A 24,171-nucleotide genomic window follows, 5' to 3' on the forward strand; every position below is an offset into this window, starting at 1 on the left:
TCACAGCAAACCAGTTCTCTATTTGTATACAACTCACAGCTGAGTGGAAATGATTTCACAGCTGCATGGTAAACCTCCTGGCGTCTCTCCTGCTTGGTGGCCTCACTGCCTGGGACCAGTCACTGCAGAGAAGCCCACCACCGCTGCTTCCTGGGAAGGGACAAATGGTGGCGCTACAAAGAGGGTGAGGTGCCAAGGGAAGGCCATCTGCCCAGTGTTGGTTTTGTCATCTGTCACTCTCTGAAATGAGTCCCTGCCTTAAAGAGGGAAGTCAAGGTTTACAGAAAAGAATTCCCTATGTGCATCTACATTGACCCTTCTGATCTGTGTCTGACTCAACTTTCAGGTAGTTCTTCAGAAAGCTAGTTAAGTGGGGAATTTACCCTTCAGCAAGCCATAATACTAAGGAGGCACCCTTGTGGGGGTTATTTTAAATTCTGAATATTCTTATAATACGCCTTCCTTCTATAAAACAATATAGAAATTGAAATGAATTTTCCAAATAAGTCTTGCTCAGAAAGATATCTACTCAGTCATCAAATCAACAATGCTAATTGCAATTTACAATGTGCAGTGTAGCATGTGTTAATAGTCTTATTATAGCACTTTCAATATAGCAAATCAAAAATTATTTCTGTCTTGGTGACTATGTCTCATTTTTCATAAATACTTTAAAAATGATTTTATGGCCAATCCTTTCTCTTCTGCACTATTATTATCCTTCACCTCACACAGTTCTTTCAAGGATTAAAAGAGATAAAGTCAGCAAAGAACAGAGTGCCTAACACAGCACTGGCACATGTTGACAATTAAGAAAATCAGAGCTACAGTAGCAGAGGCAGGAACAACAATAGTAGTAACATTTGTAGTTGTAGCTCATAGCCTGACTTTTCTTTTGCAATTAAGAATCTTCTTGAAAATCATACTCTAAAATCCTAAAAAAGGAAGTCAATTTGTAGCTACAAAAATAGCACCTTCACAGACAAAATTATAGATCCATCAGCAATCCTTTTTTTTTTTTTTAAAACAAAACACTTTACTGGAACTGGCCATCAGCAGCAGCAGCACTTGCATTCTGGATCTCAGAACAGAAAACAGGCTGCCCTGCCTAGGGACAACTTTCTACCATTAACTCAATGCTAGAACCATCATGTCACTTGAGAGTGGGAAGATAAACACAGAGTCATCATTTTATAAGACATCATATATCATCACCACTTGATCTTGCATTTTAAATTTGCATGTGGAAAGGATTTTTTTTTTCATGGTTGTAGCTCCAGTTGTGAAACTGGCACATTATAGTCAACCAACATATATTTGTTAAATACACTCTTGAATTTTTATAAATGTGGATATATTTTTCTCCTCATTTATATATATCATTATATATATGTATATATGCATACTTATATATTTTCTCCTCATTTTATATGTATACATATATACATTTTCTCATTTTATATGTATATGTCTCATTATATATGTGTGTGTTATGTGTATGTATATTTTATATATTATATATATATAGTCTTACAGTGCAGAAATTTGTATAATTAATTTTCTTAAAACACTGTGAGGCCGAAAGAGAGAAGAAAATGTTGTATGATTATACTTTGGTTGAATATCCATATATACACATGGTAAAAGTAAGATGTCGACAGATGCTACAGCACTTTGCATATAATCCTATTAGTGCATAATTACTGCCTGATAATGCTTTACACCTAAATGATCTTCTCTCTTGAACTGTAAGCTCCTTGAGGATTCTTATTTATCTTTATTCTATTATATAAGAGAAATTGAATAAAACATTATTTGGATGAATGGATAGAGAGCTGATTGAAAAGTTAATAAGTAGCATCATCAAACAAAAATTGTTGGTATATGTGTAGTATATGAGACTTGTCAAATGATCTGTTTCCAGACCCACCCTTAAATGCAAATTTCCAATAAATCAACCTGATATCAAAAAGCTTAACTGCATGCTAGAACAAAGCACAACAAAAAGAATATGACAAAATCCATCATCCCAAACCATAAAATTCTCAATGTCCAGGATGCAATAAAAAGTTATCAGGCAAGCAAAGAAGCAGGAAAACATAGAGGAAAAAAAAAATCAATCTATCAATAAAAGCAGGCTCCCAAAATGAGAGAGAATGGAATTTGCAGACAGGGAAGTTAAAATATCATGTGATTAAATGTTCTCCATTTGTTCAAGAATAGAGAAAAAAACATGAACTTGAAAAGAAAGAAATGGAAGATACAAAAAATGAAAATATTAAGAGATGAAAAATGAAATGTCTGTAACAAAAAATTATGTAAAATTGACAGCAGATTAGATTAGATACTGTAGAAGAAGAGATCAGTCAACTTGAAGAAATAGCAACAGAAACTATCTGAAAGAAAAAAAGATAAAACTCTAAAGAAATTAAAAAGTAGTAATGACCAGTAGGGTAATATAAAGCAATGCAAGTAATTGGAATCCCAGAAGGGAAGAGACAGGGAGTCAAAAAAAAATCTTCAAGAGATAAGAGCCCAAATTTTCCCAAATTTGATCAAAATTATACACTCATGGGTCTTCTCTTTTTACATTATGCTATCTCATAGTGACTGCATTTTAAATATATTAAGAATCAGTGACAGAATTTAATAATTGTAAACATCTATCTTATGTCAAGTGCTGCTTTAAATGCTTTGCAGGTAGTAACTCATATAATCCCAAAACACAAGGTGATAAGATCTCTTGTATCTCTGTTTTATAGATCAGGGCACTGACTCCCAGAAAGATTAGGTGTTGGCATGCTCAATGTCGCCCAGCTTTTCTGAGTGGAGCAAAGACTCAAACCTGTGTTTCTGGCTTCAGCATTCATGCTCTTAACCATGCTATATGGCCTCTGTACCTTCTGTGCAATGGACAAACATTAACACTTTAAGACTCAAACTTGAGCCAGATGTGTCCATTTTTATGCTAAACACTTCTAAATCTTAAAACAATTCAGTGTGGTTTTTATAAAGAATATGAATTTACACTTTATCTTCCAGGATCCAGAATAATATCAATAAATGTGTGCAAATGCATGAACAAACTGGCAAAAAGATGAAGAACATGTTAGCATTCAAACCATTGTGACCCGCCATTTAACCATGGACTAAATCAGCAGGAAAACTGTGTATCTGGAGGAATGGGTACTTGTGATTTTCTGAAGCCATATTTTAAAAGAAAACTAAGAACATCCAGACACTACAGTTGTCAGCAACTTGACTCCTTCTAGTTGCAATCAGAGGGTTCTTGCTGACACATGTAGCCCTGCTTGTCCTTTGTCACATATGTGCTTCCCCTGCAAACTGTCAGTGACTTGTCAGAATTGATCAGGAAGTCTAAGGTCAATCCTCAGTGATGGACAGGTCTGGACACGACAACATCCCATTTCTGGTTCTGTGTCATGTAACGTATGAAAACTGATGTCCCCATCATCTACTCTCAGGATAAATGACTGCACACAATGATGGTGAGATTTTTTTTTAAAGGTAAAGAAAATCAACAGGATAAACTCAACATTTATTTTTTTAAGCAAATATTTAATCTAATGTTGCAGAGAGACAGGATGTCTTATAAAAAGATGTATACTCCTTTCTCCCAATGTATGAATAAAACTGACCGTGTTCCTTATTTGGGAATTTAAACCATCCAACAACCAAACCAACCAAATCTAGGAATAAGGAAACAGGGCAGGGCACTTCTGTAAATGGCCTGAGACCCTGATGGCTCCCAAGGCACCCAACCCATGAATTACAGGCCAGAAATTTGGAAGTATCTTTGTTGCTTTCCAAGGTGTCTACTTTGAAATTTGATAGAAATTAAGATTTGTGTTACACTTCAATTTGTTTGTTAAGATGTTTGTTAAAGTGGGCATCTTACTACGTAAATTGCCCCTTCTAGAAAAGAAAAATGCTAGAAATTTTTTATAATCTTTTAAAATATCTGACACCACTGAAATATATTATGAGACTGTAAAAAGAATAACTAATCTTTTGGGCGAAGAGGTGGAAAATCACTGTGAACAGGGGTCTAAAGTATGCATAGTATTGCTTAGAAGGGAAAGGGACATAAAAGGGCCTCCACTGAACAGTTTATATAAATTAGCACACAACACTTTTGGGCTTCTGTTCACTTGGCTCCTCATTTCCTCACTGTCCTGACTTCTCTCATTGTTATCCTTGCTAGTCACTTTATTCCTCCTTATAGATTTTACTACAAAATATAGAGAAGAGGAAAGAACATCCCATTTTGCTACACTTCCAAGATCTTACCTCTATTTTTTTTCCGTTCCTCACACCCCTACAAAAATCCTCATAATATCACTTTGATTTTAGCAAAATCACTGGCAACAGAGGGAAAATGGGAAAATGTGAGAGAACTCACTGCCTAACTCCCACTGCTTCTTTCTACACCCAAAAGAGGGAAACGTAGAGAAAGGAGAAAGACCTCTACAGCATAGTAACATGAACATAAATTTAAGCATCTGAATCTTTTAGTTCTTAACACGGACACAGCCTGTAATTACAGTTGCAGGGGAAACCACTAAGTTCCCTATGATTTGTTCCCCAAATGAAGAAAAGGGAGAAACACTCTGTGAGTTCAGGCTACTGGTAATATTCAACAATTGATACCTATTCCATTATTTCTATTTTTTTAAATTAACAAATATTTTATTCTTTCAACTTAATTTCAGTTTAGTTTATGCCTGTTTTTTATCTTCTCTAAGTGAAAACATAAAACATGCATTTTAAATCTTTTCTTATGTTCTAACATAAGCATTTAAAGCTTATGTTTTGCGTTAAGCACTGTTTTTAGCTGTCTCTCAAATTATTTTCTAATCTTCTTTTCTGAATTCTCTTACTTAAAATTATAGTATTTAGAAGTGGTTGCTTAAGTCCTAAACATGTAAGAACTTCTTTGTGATATATTTTTCATTTACTTTTAATTTAATTCCATGTTAGTCAGATAGCATGCTTTTTAATATCTCTGTTTTAAAAGATCTTTCACTTCTCTCAGCAATGTTTCATAGTTTTTATCCAAGAAGTTATCATATCTTTTGTTAAATTTATCCCTAAACATTTATGGAAAATACTATATCAGACATAGTATCCCACTTCAGAGCCGGGCACGGTGGCTCACACCTGTAATCTCAGCACTTTGGGAGGCCGAGGCGGGCAGATCACCTGAGGTCAAGAGGTCGAGACCAGCCTGGCCAACATGGTGAAACCCCATCTCTACTAAAAATACAAAAATTAGCCAGGCGTGGTGGTAGGCACCTGTAATCACAGCTACTCAGGAGCCTGGGGCCTGAGACTCGCTTGAACCCGGGAGGTGGAGGTTGCAGTGAGCCAAGATCACGCCACTGCACTCCAGCTCGGGCAACAGAGAGAGACTCCATTTCAAAAATAAAATAAAATAAAATACTCTGTAATACTCCAATTCTTTAAAATTTATTAAACTTTGTTTTATGAACCAGTGTATGGCTCAGGTGTTGGTTGCAGTGTTCTCTTAATGTCAGTTAGACTAAGGTGGTTGATAGTATGGTCCAAATCAACATGCTTACTATTGTTTGTCTTTTATACTTCAAACAATTACTGAGGGAGGAGTGCTACACTATCCAACCACAATTATAGGTTTGTCTATTTTTCTATGACTTTTGCCAGTTGTTGCTTCATTTATTTTAAAGTTCTATCATAAAGTGTGTACACTTTCAGCATGGTTATAGCTTCTTAATGTATTAACTGTTTCATCAAAATAAAATGTCTCTTTAGTGCTGGTAATATGCCTTGTTCTGAAGTGGGATACTATGTCTGATATTAATATAGCCTTTTCCAGCTTTTTATGATTAATGTTTACATGGTACATCTTTTTTTTCCATTCTTTTACTCTTTTTTTTATACTTTTAAGTTCTAGGGTACATGTGCACAACGTGCAGGTTAGTTACATTCTATTTTTTAACTGCAGAGGGAAGGGAGATAAAACAGTATCAAAGAGATTCCATGTTGTCACTGCTAATTTTCCAATCATTTTGGTTGAACATTTCAGAATGTTGTGAAAATTGTACGACTGTTTATTGACTTGCTAGCTCTTTACCATTCATGAGTGCCATTCAGATGTAATTGTTTAATGAAACAAAATAGTATAATTCCCCTAAATCATGTATCTATTCTACCTTTAGGTAGTCTGAAAGTATAAAATAACACATTTGGAGCCATAACAGCCCACCATGTCCATTCGGATGCACATCTCTAAGAGTTATTTTTTTGGCCTAGTGTGGTGGCTCACACCTGTAATCCCAGCACTTTGGGAGGCCAGCGCAGGAGGATTGCTTGAGCCCAGGAGTTTGAGATCAACCTCAGCAACATGGCGTAACTCTGTCTCTACAAAAAATACAAAAATTAGCAGGGCGTGGTAGTGCATGCCTCTAGCTACTCAGGAGCCTGAGGTGGGAAGATCACTTGAGCCCAGAAAGTGGAGGGTACGATAAGGTGAGATTGCACCACTGCACTCCAGCCTGGGCAACAGAACCAGACCCTGCCTCCAAAAAATAAGTTTTTTTTTTTTTGGAAAAAAAATGTAAATAACATTTTTCTAGCAAATCATTGTAATATTGTAATATAAGACTATTATATCTAGCAAATCATTATAATTATAATATAGACATGAAACAATTAAAAATAAATTACTATATTTATTACTGCAAATTGCTATACAGTCACGAGTTCATATATTCCACCCTTAATGATCATGGTTGTATAAGAGCATTAAAGGAACAACTCAAGCTATTTATGTAATATATGTTGGTATATCTAGTATATGGCATTTCAAAGGTCTAAATAAAGTATAAATCACTGACTTCAGGTAGTTGCATCCCTATTGAATATTCAAAGTGAGAGTTATTAACTACCTCTTCGTTCATCATTAGCCCAAGAGTCAATGGTATTAACAACACATTCCAGGGTCACTCAGTAGTATAAAATAACATATTTGGAGCCATAACAAGCCACCATGTCCATTCTGATGCACATCTGTAAGAGTTGGCTTTTTGGCCAAGTGTGGTGGCTCACACCTGTAATCCCAGTACTGCTCGTCAGGACTAAGCACCAGGGTTTCTGCCCTGAATCTTCCTAGGCTTACACCTCTCTCCAAAGGCAAGGAATCCAGCACCCAAGGGGACATGCTGCCCTAGCCCCTCCATCTTTGTGCTCATGGTCCAGCTGCTCAGAAATTGGGATTCCCTGTTCAACAGTAAGAAGTCCCCTTCTGGGGCATACATGGGCTTCCTTCTTGGGTCTATCCCCCAAAAGCCAAACATGCAGCCATTATGTTCACCTCCAGGTCTGAGGTTAGCCGATGGCTGTTGTTTGGGGTGAAAGTTTGATGGAGCTTCCTGTGGGCAGAGTGGTCCATTCCAGGCAGACTAGGTCCCCGTAGAATGGCAGGTGCAAGATATGGGCTAAGGGTCACATTTGCATCTGTGTCCCACAATTGTCAGAGGTGGATTTTCCTTAGGGTAACTGGAAGGTAAATATAAAGTAGATTCCCGGAAGTCCCAGCATTCCAGTGGCAAGGCAATTATGGGCAGGGTTACCCCCTCAAAGTCATCAAGGCTCCATCTGTTCTACTACAACAATCACGACTGAAATCATGGGATGTAGTGGCTTCTAACATATATAGTTGTGAGGTCACTGGAACAGATTTTTAAGGAATTTCAGCTCATAACACACAGTTTTGGTAAATTTTAAGACAACAGTGGATACACAACTGACCATATCCATTGCCAAGAAATTAGATTAAATGGCATTTAGAATAATAAAAATTTGAAGAGAGCATATAAAGGTCATTTCAATGACCAACCTACATTTATGACAATTGAGTTCATTCCATGACTAAAACCATAAGGTCTCTTTCTCCCCTCCGCACACTCAGATATCAACCACTTAAAATATATTAAATTTATATTTCTAAAATTTACATCATTAAGATCCCCACAAAGCAAAACATACATGACCTCCTTAAACTACACTTTCATGATAAATCAGTAGTGAGTGCAGCGATTCATGTATTATTAAGTTAATTGTCTGTCAAGATATTAACAATGTTGACTTCTGAAAAGAAGTCTAAAATTTTAAAAGCGAAACTGAGTTTATCAGCTAGGACAGATTGCTGCTTGTCAAAGTGACTTAGTTTGTGTGACAGAGCTACACGCTGCCTTTGGGTTCACAAGTCCTTCAAAACCAAAAATCCATGCTAATGGAAACCTTTTCAGCATAAAGCATCCAACAATCAGAGTTAAGGTTTTATTTATTGGCTTTGACCATTTACTTCTGTTATCAACCATAAGGGCCCATACACTTCATCAACCTCTAACAATAGCCGCAAGCTTGGACAATCTGTCTTGCGTCTTCATTGGGTAAGACTTCAATGGGACAGCCTCGATTAAAGAACAGCCCACGCATAAAATGAAAACTCATTAAAATAAACTTTCTCAAAGGGTAGAAACTTCACTTCCAATTGAACTGAACTGTTTTTATTTCAAAGATGAAAGGCACATTACCCAGCCATACATTCATGTGCTCTTGGCCTAAGTGCTTTCTATTTGACGACTTTAACTCTGGGTCCCTTCCCATGTCTTTTTGGAGGCTTTAGAAACAGAATAGGAATTCAACCCTTATTGAGCCTGATTGGAACATAGTATCTGTGAACCTCTTAATAATACTTCAGACCTTTATGGTTTAATTCGCAATGGTGTCCCTTTTGTCTGCCTTACTAGCCTTTAATCTAAGGCACAATGAACCCACTTTACATTTATTTGTAGAAAAACACTGAATAGCTAAGGATTTTTTAATGTGCCCATTATAAATAGAGATTTTTTAGAGACACACAGGTATGGTCATTTACATAACAGAATGCAAAGCTGAATTAAAAAAAGACGATGTCGAAGATGGTTGTTGCCAATTGTTTACATGAAAACTGACTTATAACTTTGAAGTTGAAAACTTCACCTTGAACTTATGAGGGCAATATCAATGAAAGAAACAACACAATAAAATGAAAAAGTCAAGAGACTGGGAAAATCTGTTATGTGAAAATATCAGCTGACCTATAAAAGAGTAATATAACTGGTATTAGCTGAAGCAAATAATAATACTCTGAGCTTTAATTTTATATGAATGACCATTAAGTGAAATGAACCACAATCATGGTTACTTAGATACACAGACTATTCAGAGATATTGTTAATACTCAAAGCAATGCAAAAACATCCACTAATGGCTGTATATGCATGCCATTAAGAGGAAATTAAGCTCTTTAAGGTTGGCTATATGTTATTATATAACTTTAATTCATACATCTTTGTTTGAGACCTAAATGTATATACCATGTGCATACTTTAAAAGACACATTAGTTCAAGAAATATAAATTTCTTGTGTCAAAAATGTTCCCTTAAATTATGTAATTGTGAAACTATATGTAGATGCATTTTAAATTTTATCAAAATTAATAACTAGCATAATGGTCTCTGGGTAATGAAAGTGCTATATACTTTCTCAGCAGGGGTTGCCAAAAGCTTCTCAATTATCTTTTTGATTTAATCTATTTGTAAATTACTAACAAAGGCTTTTTTTCTTTATGCAAAAACCTATCAGAAATTGAATATATAAATAAGATATTTTTAAACAAAAATCTATTATTTAAAACCAAAACAAAAGATCAAAATAAAAAATGTTACAAAATCAAACATCATCACAAATGACAAAGTATAGAAAACTGATTCTTACCTGGTTTTTTTTTTTACCTATAAAGTCAATCTAAACTTTCTTGCTATTTTTTGCTTTGTTTTTGCTTTAAAGGTGAATGTATTCAATATTTGAAATTAATCAAAAAGTAAACAGAAAAACAACACCTATCTTTGTCGAAATTACAAACAATTCTGTCATTCACCAACTTATACTAGCTCCAGTACAAAATAAACATCTGCCCTGACTGCTAGAAAGCGTTAAGTGAATTCCTGGCTTTGCTCAAACAGGATCATATAGATATCATTTTTTCCCACTAATTTAAAAAAATCATAGCTTCTGTATTTTATTTGGTATTATTTTGGTCTTACCACATCTATTCATCATTTAGGGGTCTAAATATATCAATCTGTAAAAAGCCAAATTAAAATAACCAACAATCTCTCAGGGAAAACTAAAATAGGTCTGTCGCACTTTAAGCAAAACCAATGTATAAATGTAGGTGAAGGATGATTAAAAGATTAATATTTGTGATGCACAGTATTAGCGATAGGACTTTTTCGCAACAGCAAGCTCTCCTCTTGAAATTTACCGTCTTAAAAATGTGTATGACTTACAGCCATCCTGGATTCTATCTAATATATACAAAATAATACTTTGTATAGATGAAAATATTTACAGATATATATTTCATATCTATGAAAACATTTGCAGTAAATAACACTATATCTTTATGATAGATAGCAAGATACACAGCCTATATAATTATGACACATATGATATAGATAACATTATCTACTGTAAATGTTTCATTTATTGAATTATTCAAATAAGTCAAAAGAATCTGTATTATTCCACCAAGAATGTCAGTTTATAGAAATTTGATTATTGTTAATCAGGGCCTGTTCTTGCTTAAAAATTTAACTTATAAACCTCGAATTAACTATAAACAATTTATAATTTTAAAAATTAGCATAACAGGAGCACACAATGCTTTTCTTGTTATCAGGAGGTTGAGCCATGGAAGTTCAGAAACTATAATTAATTTCTTGTTTAATGAAATTGGCCAAAGCTGCCATACATCATGCTGTAAGTTGCTTCCTGAAAGTGAAGTTCCTTTTGCATCTTACGCAGCAAAACTAGTTTATAATTACAATGGAAAACTCTATGTTGGAAGGCCCTGGCCTCTCTAGACTGTACTTGCAAATGGAAAACAGAGCAGCCTAAGCTGTCCAGTATGTGCTTCCCAGACCTTATGTGGCCCATCAGAGAAGTTCCCCAAGACAAACTCAGTGTTGAAAATATGGCTATGAATATTAGCCATAAAAATCATGTTTTAATTCAAACAAATTCATTTTAATGTAAAGAAATCAAATAAACATGAAATAATTTCAACAAAGCATTAGATGATAAATACCTTTCTAACTTTAGACATAAGGACATTAGCTACTAGAAAAAATCTAACATAATTTTAATGCTTTTACTTTTGCATTGAAATTAGTGTGTGTCAAAAAATGAGATAACACAGTAGTTTTTTGCTTACATGGACACATGTTAATAGTTCTGTGGGATATTTGCAATTTTCACTTTTATGGTTTCAACTCCTGATGCTTACCTAGGAAAACTGGGATCTCGTAGTATAAAATTTAAGAAAATCAAACAAATGACTTAAAGGGAGTAGAATGATTTTTTGCGGCGGGGGGGGGGGGGCGGGAGGTTTTTTTTTATTATTATTATTTTGCCTTAATCCTCTCATTTGGTTTAGAAACATAAGGCCCTGTTCACTTCATTTAAGCCTCACAATGACTGGAAGCCTGATCAATCTGTCTTGTGTCTTCTTAGGGTGAAACTGCAATTGAGCGGAAGCAACAGATGAACAAAGCCCACATTCAAATCTGTAGCTCATTAAAATAACGTTAAAATAGAGTAAAATCTCAATTGTAAGTGAATCGTAGCTGGCTTTTTTTTCTGCTAAATACATTTGATTAATAAACTATACAATCATTAGCCCTGAATCAGTAGTCTTTAAAGTAAATTTAAATAAATGTCTACTTCTTTCTAAAAACTTGAACATTTTGAAAACCGTTTTGGAAATAGGCTTTCAACAAAGCACTACATGAGATAACTCTGCAGCATGCTCCAGTGACACATTCCATCAAGACATGATTCACAGTAATTCTACAGTTTATGGTGCTTTCTACAGTATATGGAGGAACCATACACAAGATAAAATCAGTAGCAGTCAATGTAACACTTCCCCCTCCAAACTCCTATCATTCTATAATGACACAACATCAAGTTTCTATCAATAAATGCCAAAATAGATGTGCTATGCCACAATTTTTTATCCAAATGCCCAATAAGTAAAATTTTTAGAACTTTTGTGAATTTTAAGTAACCCAGAAGTTCAGCAGGGAAATTCACAAGTAAGCATACTACCATTCCAGTCTGTACCTAATCCAGGGTTGAAATCTTTATTAACACATTTGACTAAGACAGTCAAGATTTGTAAAAGTCGGATTTTAGTTGGGAACACATGTCCATAGTTATGTCTGATGGATTTTTGTTATAAAGTATAATCATGTTCTAGAAACTGCTTAGGCAATCTAAAGATATCTGTTAAAATAAGACATGCAAACATTTTTCAACCCTAAAACCTCACCTTTAAGAAACCAATCTCAAAGAAATAAAAGCACCAGTGTAAAATCATATATAATCAAAGATATTTGCTGTAGAATTGTTTCTTGGAGCTAAAAAAGAAAAAAAAACAAAAACAAAGTAGAAAAACTGTCGGCCATTCATAGTATGGAATATTATAGAACGTTAAAAGAGTCTGTTAAAGCTACACCAGTTGACCAGGACAATTTTTCATGATATACTCTTAAATAAAAAATAAGATGCAGAGAACACATCTTTAAAAAACTAACTGGCAAAATCCCTCCACATACATGGGTGTATAAACAAAGTTCTGAACAGATCATATGCCCACAGAGAACGGTCTGAAAGGCTATGTACAGGTTGTTGATATAAGCATAGAAAGGAACGGGGTTGGGGGAGGTAGGGGTGGAGGGTTGGCTAGTAACCAAAAGAATAATTTTTTTTTTTTTGAGATGGAGTCTCGATCTGTCACCCAGGCTAGATGGAGTGCAGTGGCGCAATCTCGATACACTGCAACCTCTGCCTCCTGGGTTCAAGAGATTCTCCTAACTTCTGCCTTAGCCTCCGAAGTAGCTGGGACTACAGGCATGTGCCACCACGCCCAGCTAATTTTTGTATTTTTAGTACAGACGGGGTTTCACCATGTTGGCCAGGCTTGTCTCTAACTCCTGGCCTCGCGTGATCCACCCGCCTCAGCCTCCCAAAGTGCTGGGATTACAGGTGTGAGCCACCGCGCCCAGCCAAAAGAATGAATTTTTTTTCCAAAAGTCCTCAATGACAACAGCATATTATTCTGATATATCTGATTTTTACAATGAGCCTGTAATAGTTAAATAATCAGATTAAAACAATAAAGTCATTTTCACAAATAAAGAAGAGATGTCTGAGAAGCAAGTCTGGCTGGAAGCTTTTCAGGTTAACAGGCAGCTTTGCAGGTTAATTCCTAGTTTCTTCATTTGCTTGTATTGGGGCTCTGAAAATGATACTCCAAAGTATGATGCTTTGGTGTGCTGAGTACTTTGAACTAAAAGATGTAGGGCTCAGAAGCAGCCTCAGAACGAAGATCTCTCTGCCCTCCTGCCCTCCTGTTTCTCTTCCCTGGCTCTCTCTTAAGGTGAGTCAGAATAAACAGAATTCCTCTTCCCCAAGGCAGTTCCCCTTTTCCCCAAAGACAGACATAAAACCTAGAAATATTACTCTAACCTTCCCCTGTCTTTCTGTCTGTCAGCTGGCTGTAAAGAAATTCTCTGACCTAACCTTGTCCGATAGTACGTCATAAGACCCTCATTCCAGAGGTTTCCTGCCCATTCCAGTGAGAAGAAATACTACAACAGAGAAGCCAAGAAGAATCTGAACAGATGGGAGGCCTTGTTGGGTTTCCCCATCAATCCGTAACCATTAGATCACCCCCTTTGGTCCAATCACATTTCTACATAGCTGTCCATTTTTCACCAAACCTACACATAAAAATAGGCAGTGTTCTCTGAGTCTTTGGGTCTTCATTGTGAAGGCTCCCAAGTCACATAAAATGTTGATTATTTAAATAAAGATGCTATGCTTTTCTCTTGTTAAGCTGTGTTTTGTTATCAAAGTATCAGCCATGACCCTTATTGTGAGAAAGAAAGGTGTCACACCCTGTCCACTTCTACACTTGCTTTATACTTTTGGAGAATCACTGAACGTCTCTCTCCACTTTCCCCCTGTGTCAAGTTAGGTAATGTTAAAGTCAGCATTATGTGAAATCATGCATTTAAAACACCTAGAAGCAGGAATGACTACTCTAAGCCCTCAATACATTGTGATTCTTAAATCCTTCTCCCTGACTCTTGCCCTAGGGTTTCAGAAGGTGGCTTCCTTGCTGACAGTGGGAGCTGGATTCAGGCTGAAGTAGCTACTAAAAGGCTCTCATATACACACATAACTGCAAGGCTTGGGCCTGTCAGATCACAGAAGGGAATGCAGAGAGTGGGAGAGGAAGGTAGGTTAGGAGGAGGAGCAGGGAGGGAAGACTGACACACTTCTTAGATATCTTTTGGTGATGAAAACAGAAAATATGACTATGAATCCATTAGTAACACACAGTGATAGAGAAAAGCATCTCTGACTGTTGATAATCTAGATTCTGATCAGCTGCCTAGTATCTCTTCTCCTTCATCATGCCCTGACCTCACTCATTGGTCCACCAAAAGCCCACCCTTCTCAGTGGATATGCACAAGCTCTGCTCACCACAACAATCCGCTGTCGTGTGGCTGCAGGGCCAGAGATTTCTGAGTAATCACAAAGGAAGCAGACCGTCTGTTTCATGGATATCTTGTTCTCCTGTGAGGATCTGACTGACATTTTTTAATTAAACTGGCCCACTGGAGTTTAATTAAGGTGTTGTCTTCTTGAGATGAAACTAAAGAAATATAGATCCCTTTTATGGAACAAACATGTAGGATAAGAAACCTTCTTCTACCCCTCTGATCTTTAAAAAAAAATGCCCTCAATTGTTTCTTTTATTCCCAAACGTTTTCTTCTTTTTATTAACAAAGTTGTTTCAGAAGTGACTTAAAATGGCCCATAGGCTAGCCCCATAAATCTACAAGTATCTGAGAAATTGCAGAGACTGATGATGTACGTTGGGGGATAAGAAAGTCTGCCTTTTAAATTCAATTTAATAGAAATCAGCTTAGAAAATATGCATTGACTAATGGCCCAGTAATGAACCCAGTTACAAAAAGTAGTTTGAATCTCACAGGGAAACTAACCAGGTTAAAAAAGTACATAATAAAAGCAACCTCCTATTGGAACGGGCACTAGATTGAAGTCAGGGTTGCTGGCTGTGGCTTTGCCCTTCCATTTTTTGGCGCTGCATCTTTAAGCAAGTTACCTAGCTTCTCTGAACAGTAGCTGCCTGATTTGCAAGATTTGAGTGTTCTACCTCGCTGTGTTAAGGCAAAGATTAAATGGGATAATAAATGTGAGAAGCTTGTGTGGCCTGTACAAATACAGATAACCATCACTATTATTTGGGAGAATTTCTTTTGGAAACGATTCTGAAGTTAACTTAGGATCATCTGTATAGCAGACAATGTTGAATCTCCTTCCCATTCCTTCTTGCCACTTTTGCATGCACCCCACCCCGATTTTGTGGTCTGGTGCTTTCAGTCCCCCACCCCCAATTCCTGTAGCTCTTTGGAGGACAACTCTCAGGCTGATGGAGCCACTTTGTGACAAGGGCAGAAAGTGGGAAGTGCCTGAGGGCCTATGATCCTTTGCACACCCTGAGACTATCATCCAATGAGTATGGGATGAAGGAGCATGAACCTGCAACACAAATAGGTCTAATTCATACTCCAGAGTGCTATAGGGTTAGACTGAATGAAGTCACACTCTGGGAGATTCTGTCCAAGCTAAGTCAAACCCTTCCTCCACTTTCTCCCTTCCCTGCTGTGCTTTCCCTGCCCACTTAAGGGTTTCCCCTGGGAGTTCTACTTCTGAGGAACCCAATCTGAGACAATACAGTATTATAAAGGCTCTCAATTCATTTTCCTTCATTTGAGAGCCTAAATTTTTATCCTTCTTATTTCTTTTAGCAAAAAGTATAATAATTCACCATTTCTCTTTGCTGACTAGGTTTCCAAATGACATAATTCCCTAGCATTTGTTGCTTTCATTCAATTATCTTTCCTCACAAATTACTTTTTGTTCACTTGAGATCTTTTAATGTATATATAGTCAATGAGCCAATTTTCATGATAATTCTCATGAATTAGGTATTCACACAATATGTACATTGATCATAATAGTAAATGACACAAAGGACCTAAGTTTTTGAAAAGAAGAATTATCATGAAGATTCCAACATCAAAGCCACCGCATCTGTCCCAGTACTGCATTCTTCTAAACTGAAAAGGACTATAGGGAACAGTTGACCAAGTAGAAATCTTTAGGCAAAGATTATGCTAATACACATGCCCACAGAGTCAGGGAAAGTCAGTCTAGAAAGCCCAACGAGAACAATCTAAAGTTTTTTTAGACTGACAGACTTAAAACCAATACTCAAGGTTCACAGCCAGGGCAATGTGCTTGGACAATTCTAACACAGAACTCCAATGGTATCTTCTATTTCAAAACACAGGAAATGAAGCAAAAAAAATCTACACTTGGATTCCAACCTTTTAAGAAGCATGGTTAATTTGAAATATACCTGAATATTCAACAAAAGTATGGATCAAGAACATTTAAATTAACCTCTTTCATTACCATCATTATCTCTTCATCCTCTCATTCACCACCACAATGGAGAAGTTATGCTTGCCACTCATTTGGACAATAGGGTCATAAGTCGTGGGTTTAGCATGCAGTACCTGCTGTGGTACACATTCTTCTGTTAATGAGCATGCATAACTCTTCATCCCTAAGGAACTGTCTCTGCACATAAAAGGATACATAATTTTTTATAATGCCAGAAAGAAGTAAATACAGCTCATTGAGTTTTCTATGGGAGGATTTGGAGAGTTTAATTATCATGCACTGCCAGTATCTCTAGGCACTTACTAGACTGGTTCTTTTTCCATGTATCATACCACCAAGTTACCAAGTATATTGTTACCAAATACAAGGTAAAAGCACATTTTAGATCCTTGTGCTGGTTTCAGTGGTCATATCTTACTGCTTCTCTCTAGAGAGCAAGTCTCAGGCCACTAAAGCCACTTGGTCACATGCAGTGAGCAAAAGTGCAGAGATCAGCAACAGATCCTTCCCCACACTGTTAGCCCCTTATCTCAGATGTGAAAAACTCTTAAGGTGTCAGTTACACCAACCATAATTGATGTGTAAAAGACTTCTCCTTCCGGATGTATTCAAATTTTAAGTTATTATAATTGTTGAGTAAAAGAAAAGCATTGCATTTCCTCATAATATATATTAAATGTTCTGCAAAGAAGCTGACACATACTAAATGTTCAGTAAATGTTGGTTGCTATTATTGTGTTTATTAGAATGATTATTATCGTTAAGAAAAACTCAAGAGAATTATCAAACACTTCTAGAAAAAATCAGGAAAACAACTGAAATTCAGTTTCAAAATGTTCAAGAAATTTCTGCCATTTCTTAAATTGTTTATAATGCAATGAGTGAAAAAAGACTGTTAAGAGAGAATATCCTACCCAAGAAATTCTACCTTAGACCAGGTTCAGTGGCTCACACCTATAATCCCAGCACTTTTGGAGGCCATGGCAGGTGAATCTTTTGAGTCCAGGAGTTCAAGAACAGCCTGAGGAACATGGCAAAACCCCATCTCTATAAAAAAATAGAAAAGTTAGCTGGGCATGGTGGTGTACTCCTGTAGTCCCAGCTATCAGGGAGGCTGAGGTCTAAGGATCACTTGAGCCTGGGAAGTTGAGGCTGCAGACAACTGTGAGAGTGCCACTGCACTCCCGCCTGGGCAACAGATCGATACCCTGTCTCAGAAAAACTGTAAGAAAATCAGAGAAGCTCTAAGATAACAGCTAATGTAAATATGTATTTCAGATGATCTTATGATACTTGACACATCAAAACAAAGTGAAAAGTATTAATCTAGGACTTTCTATCCTTCATTACTTGATCAGAACATACACAAACATATTCACACATGCACACATACACACATTCATGCACACACAATCTTACAGAGACACATTCAGACACACACGAAGGCAGTCCTTGACTTGCAAGATGGTGCAGAGCCATAAACATGACCATTTATGCTGAACTGTGCAAAGCAGTGTTAATAATAAATGCAAAAATTTATGATTGTTCTTTGACCTTTAAAATTGTTTGTCGAGGCGTTAAAAACTCTTATGTTAGTTATAAATGTTAGAGAAATAAAAAATTAATATAACTAATATTTATCCAGCATAGTGTAATTTAAAACACCAGAAGACATTTTAAGCGTGAGATTTTTTCCCTTCATAAAAATCTTAACCAAGAATAGCTTGAATTTCTCGTCATGAAACTTACAAGAAATGGGGTAAGCATCTTGCCTATGTCCTGATGAATCATCACATTCCTTTCTAAATTTGGATCCGATTCTAACATTTTGTCCTGTGTGCTCTGAATGTTATGAAATATTTTGAAGCATTCTTTTAATGTAAAGTTTCTTGTCAGTGTCACTTCCTCTGGGACATCTTTGTCCTTTTTGTCACAAATAGTTTTCTCATTTATGTTGGTAAATTGTTCACCTTCACTAAGTTCCTCTGGCTGTGAATCTAGTCTTTTGAATGGCTATGCTGTCAACATTCCTAGTCAGCTATGTCTTCTATATATGTTTGATTCTAATTTCACCTACAGTTTTATCACTTTTTGTTTCTTTGCTGCATTTTATTTTATTGATTGATTGATTGATTGAGACAGAGTCTCGCTCTGTCACCCAGGCTGGAATGCAGTGGTACCATCTCAGCTCACTGCAACCTCCGCCTCCTGGGTTCAAGCAGTTCTCCTGCCTCAGCCTCCCAAGTAGATGGGACTACAGGCACATGCCACCATGTCCGGCTAATTTTTTTTTTTTTGTATTTTTAGTGGAGATGGTGTTTCACCATGTTGGCCAGGTTGGTCTCAAACTCCTGACCTCAAGTGATCCACCCTCCTCAGGCTCCCAGAGTGCTAGGATTACAGGCATGAGCCACTGTGCCCAGTCATCTTTGTTGTCCAATTCCCTCTTTTAAGCTTCAATTTTTGTAAAATATCCCATAGGTTTATCACTGAGAGACAAGAAGGCAACAAAGGTACATGCTTTGTGATCTGTGCATGAACTGAATAGCAGATGTGCAGTGACCCATCATGACAGACTTTGAAAAACATGACATGATTGGTCATTGATTGAGATGAGTACCTGTTATCTACCTAATGATTTGTGAGCTAAAGATCTGGCAGTTAAATGTATATGTTATGCAATTACTCAGTTAACACAATGTGGTAACTAAAATTTGAACTGTGTTGTTGGAGTACTGGTATTATATAACTAAACCATGGTTACTAAATTCATGGAAATTGGAACCCTGTGAAGCAAGGACTGTCTGCACACACACACACACACACACACACACACACACACTCTGTATATATGAAATGGTCTGGCTCTGTTTCCCCACCCAAATTTCATCATGAATTGTAATCCCCACATACTAGGGGAGGGATCTTGTGGGAGGTGATTAGATCATGGAAGCGGTCCCCTCATGCTGGTCTCATGATACTGAGTGAGTTCTCACAAGATCTGATGGTTTTATAAGGGGCTTTTTCCCTCCTCACTCTGCACTTCTCCTTCCTGCTGCCCTGTGAAGAACGATGAGTCTGCTGCCCCTTCTGCCATCACAGTGTTTTCTGAGGCCTCTCCAGCCATTCTGAACTGTGAGTTAATTAAACCTCTTTTCTTTATAAATCACCCAGTCTCCGGTATGTCTTTATTAGCAGCGGGAGAATGGAGTATAGTAAACTGGTACCAGGAGTGGGGTGATGCTGCAGATACCCAAAAATGTGGAAGCAACTTTGGAACTGGGTAACAGGCAGAAGCTGGAACAATTTGGACGGTTCAGAAGACAGAAAGTTGTGGGAAAGTTTGGAACTTCCTGGTCTCAGATGGAGAACTTGTTGGGAACTGTATGGAGGTCTCAGATGGAGAAACTTGTTGGGAACTGTAACAAAGGTGATTCTTGCTATGTTTTAGCAAAGAGACTGGCAGCATTTTGCCCCTGCCCTCGAGATCTATGGAAATTTGAATTTGAGAGAGATGATTTAGGGTATCTGGCAGAAGAAATTTCTAAGCAGCAAAACGTTCAAGAGAAAGCAGGGCATAAAAGTTTGGAAACTCTGCAGCCTAATGATGAGATATAAAATAAAAACTCATTTCTTAGGGAGAAATTCAAGCCTGCTGCAGAAATTTGCGTAAGTACCAAGGAGCTGAATGTTAATCACAAAGACAGTGGGGAAAATGTCTCCAGGGCATGTCGGAGACCTTCACAGCAGCCCCTCTCATCATAGGCCCAGAGGCCTAGGAGGAAAAAATGGTTTCATTCACCATGTCTTTAGATTTGGTGACATGGTGTCCTTGTGACATGGTGTCCGGTGTCCCAGATGCTTCAGCTCCAGCTGCTAAAAGGAGCCAAGTTACAGCTCAGGCCATGAATTCAGAGGGTGTAAGCCCCAAGCCTTGGTGGCTTCCACGTGGTGTTTGGCCTGTGGTGTACCAAAGTCAAGAACTGAGGTTGGGGAACCTCCACCTAGATTTCAGAGGATGTGTGGAAACACTTGGATGTCCAGGCAGAAGTGTGCTACAGGGGCAGAGCCCTCATGGAGAACCTCTGCTAGGGCAGTGCAGAAGGGAAATGTGGAGTAGGAGCCCACACACAGAGTCTCCACTGGGGCACTGCCTAGTGGAGCTGTGAGAAGAGGGTTACTGTCCTCGAGAACCTAGCATTGTAGATCCACTTACAGCTTGTACTGTGCACCTGGAAAAGCCACACCCAGTCAAGGCAAGCCTGTGAAAGCAGCTGGGAGGGGAGCTGTACCCTGCAAAGCCACAGAGGCAGAGCTGCCCAAAGCCATGGAAGCCCACCTCTTGCAGCAGTGTGACCTGGATGTGAGATATGAAGTCCAAGGAGATCATTTTGGAACTTTAAGGTTTAATGGCTGCTTTATTGGATTCTGGACAGCATGTGGCCTGTAGTCTCTTTGTTTTGGCCAATTTCTCCCATCTGAAATGGGTGTATTTACCCAATGCCTGTACCCCCATTGTATCTAGGAAGTAACTAATTTGCTTTTGACTTCACAGGCTCATAGGCGGAAGGGATTTGCCTTGTTTCAGATGAGACCATGGACTTGCACTTTTGGGTTAATGCTGAAATAAGTTACGATGTTGGGGAACTGTTAGGATGGCATATTGTGTTTTGAAATGTGAGAAAGATGAGATTTGTGAGGGGCCGGGGACAGAATGATATGGTCTGGCTCTGTGTCCCCAATCCAAATCTCATCTTGATTTGTAATCCCAACGAGTTGTGGAAGGAAACTTGTGGGAGGTGATTAGATCATGGGGGCAGTCCCCTCATGCTGTTCAAATAATACTGAGTGAGTTCTCAGGAGATCTAATGGCTTTTTAAGGGGCTTTTCCGACCTTTGCTCTGCACTTCTCCTTCCTGCTGCCCTGTGATGAAGGATGTGTTTGCTTCCCCTTCCACCATGATTGTTAAGTTTTCTGAGGTCTCCCCAGTTGTGCTAAACTGTGAGTCAATTAAATCTCTTTGGAAGGGCAAAAAGAGAAACCAGGCCTACCTGGTTCTCCCACCCTTTCATAAGGCATTAATCCATTCATGATGGCATGTTCTTTCCATATTTGTATAAGAGTCATATTTTTGTCATAAACTACCCAGTCTCAGGTATGTCTTTATTAGCAGCATGAGAATGCACTAATACAATATGTATGCACACACACACACATATATAGAGAACTCTGATGAGTTTTTTCAGGGGCACAGTAACCATGTGCTAAAAAGAAAATGTAAGTGAAATCTGACCACTTTAAGAGATGGGTCCCCCTACTATATTGAAGGATGAACAATGATCTGATGCGCTAGAGACTAAAGAGAGCTTGGAATTCCTCAAGGCTACATTCCAGGCCTCCCCTCTCCAGTGGATACACAGCGGCTTTTGATGCCAATGCAGGTAAAACAGGATGAGATAACATTTCTCACCCACCATCTGAGGACCAACTAGTGCTTTATGGGCATTATCTCCTATCTCCTCACAACTGCCCAGCAGTAGTGAGCAGTATTTACAAAGAAGAATTTGATCGCCAATCAGTTCCACATGCACAGGACAGCTCTTCTCTACCATACGCTAGTACTGCTTGCGAAGTCACACCTAGAAAGCCAGCCTTTGTGTGAAGGCTGACACAGGCTTGGCATTTTTGGAAGGTACTTGGAAATTTCTACTCAGCTTTGAGGTCTCAAGTTAAAAATCACTTCTGCCATGTGCTATGACCCATGCTTGCAATCCCAGCTGCCTGGGAGGCTGAGGCAGGGGGATCACTTGAGGCCAGAAGTTGGAGACCAGCCTGGGAAACCTAGGGAGACTCCATCTCTACAATTTTTTTTTAGTTAGCCAGGCATTGTGGTACATGCCTACAGTCCCAGCTATTTTGGAGGCTAAGGAAGGAGGATTGCTTGAGCCCAGGAGTTTGAGGCTGCAGTGAGCTATGATTGTGCCCCTGCACTTCAGTGTGGGCAACAGAGCCAGACCCCATCTCAAAAAATATATTAAAATTAAAATTAAAAAAATAAAAATAAAAGTCACTTCCTCAGGGAAACTAAGGCTAGGTGAACACCATCCCACTATACATTCTGTTCATATTCAGTACTTTTGCTTTATAGTGTATATGTATTTATGTGCTTACTTTTTACTCAGGTATTGTAGTAAGTGCTTTACAAATAATAACACATTCAATTCTTATAACTAATAATCATAAACTTATGAGTATGATAAACAAATTAGACTGTGTGCCCCAAAAGGACAGAGATCACATCTGCCTTTTTTACCTCTGGATCCTTAGTCCACTAGTGCTGCTCTAACAAAATACCTGAGACTGGGTAATTTATAAAGTACAGAAATTAATTTTCTCACAGTTCTAGAAGCTGGAAAGTCCAAAATCAAGGTGACAGCAGGTTCAGTGTCTGGTATCTCTGCTTCTAAAAGGCACCTTGAATATTGAGTCTTCACATGGTAGAAAAGATGGAAGGGCAAAAAGGGAAACCAGGCCTACCTGGTTCTCAAGCCCTTTCATAAGGCATTAATCCATTCATGATGGCATAATCCTCATGACTTAATCACCTCCCAATGGCCACACCACTTAATGCTGTTGCATTGGTGATTATAAGTTTCAACATGAATTTTGAAGGGGACATAAACATGCAAGCCATAGCAGATCCCCAGTGCCTAGTCCTAGTATCTAAAACCTACTAGGTCAACAAATGTTTATTTGTAGTCCTATATATCATGTGAAGATTGTTCTAAGCATCTCTAGACTGTTCTACTGGGTAAAGACACCCCTTTATTTGCTAACATAACTTTTAACTACAGAAAGCATAAACACTTTTCTTTACAAACTTTTTTTTAAACAAAAGCATAAGTATACTGGTTGCCTGAAAATTAGGTTGGTCACTATTATAACTCATTTGGTTTTTACCAAGAAAAAGGAATGGGGAAAATATTTTAGGACAATAGGCTCCCTAGACCAGCATCCCCAAACTTTTTGGCACCAGGGATTGGTCACTCCTATGAGAATCTAATTCTGCCACTGACCTGGAGGAGGTGGAGCTAAGGAGGTGGACCATGGACCAGTACTGGGTCTATGGCCTGGAGACTGAGGACCCCTGGTCTAGACCACTGCTCTCTAAACTTGTCTCAGTGAGTTCCTGATCTATAAAAACTGCATGTTCCCTCAATATCTATATATTTATTTAAAAATGGATATACAATATTTTTTCTAAAATGGATATACTATACTAGAAAAAATATGCACTGCAAAATATGTCGCTTTGGCATAAGAATTATTTTGAGCTGATTTTGAGAAATCACAGACACAGGAGAGGGTCAAAAACAGAGTAGAAGTTACCCTTTTGTAAGAAAAATTTATATCTATAAAGGAAATCTCCATTTCTAAGGGTGTCTCCACTCTCTGTACCAGGAAGAGAAGGATGACTAATCACAAGAGAAG

General features: G+C 37.8%; 1 protein-coding gene across 2 annotated transcripts in view; it reads right to left on the reverse strand.

The window, feature by feature from the left end:
* Positions 1 to 24,171, reverse strand: part of CYP7B1 (cytochrome P450 family 7 subfamily B member 1) — a 212,163-nt gene that overhangs the window by 124,691 nt on the left and 63,301 nt on the right. The gene's annotated exons all lie outside the window — the stretch shown is intronic.

Source organism: Homo sapiens, chromosome 8, assembly GCF_000001405.40.
Source record: "Homo sapiens chromosome 8, GRCh38.p14 Primary Assembly".
Classification (NCBI taxonomy): Eukaryota; Metazoa; Chordata; class Mammalia; order Primates; family Hominidae; genus Homo; species Homo sapiens.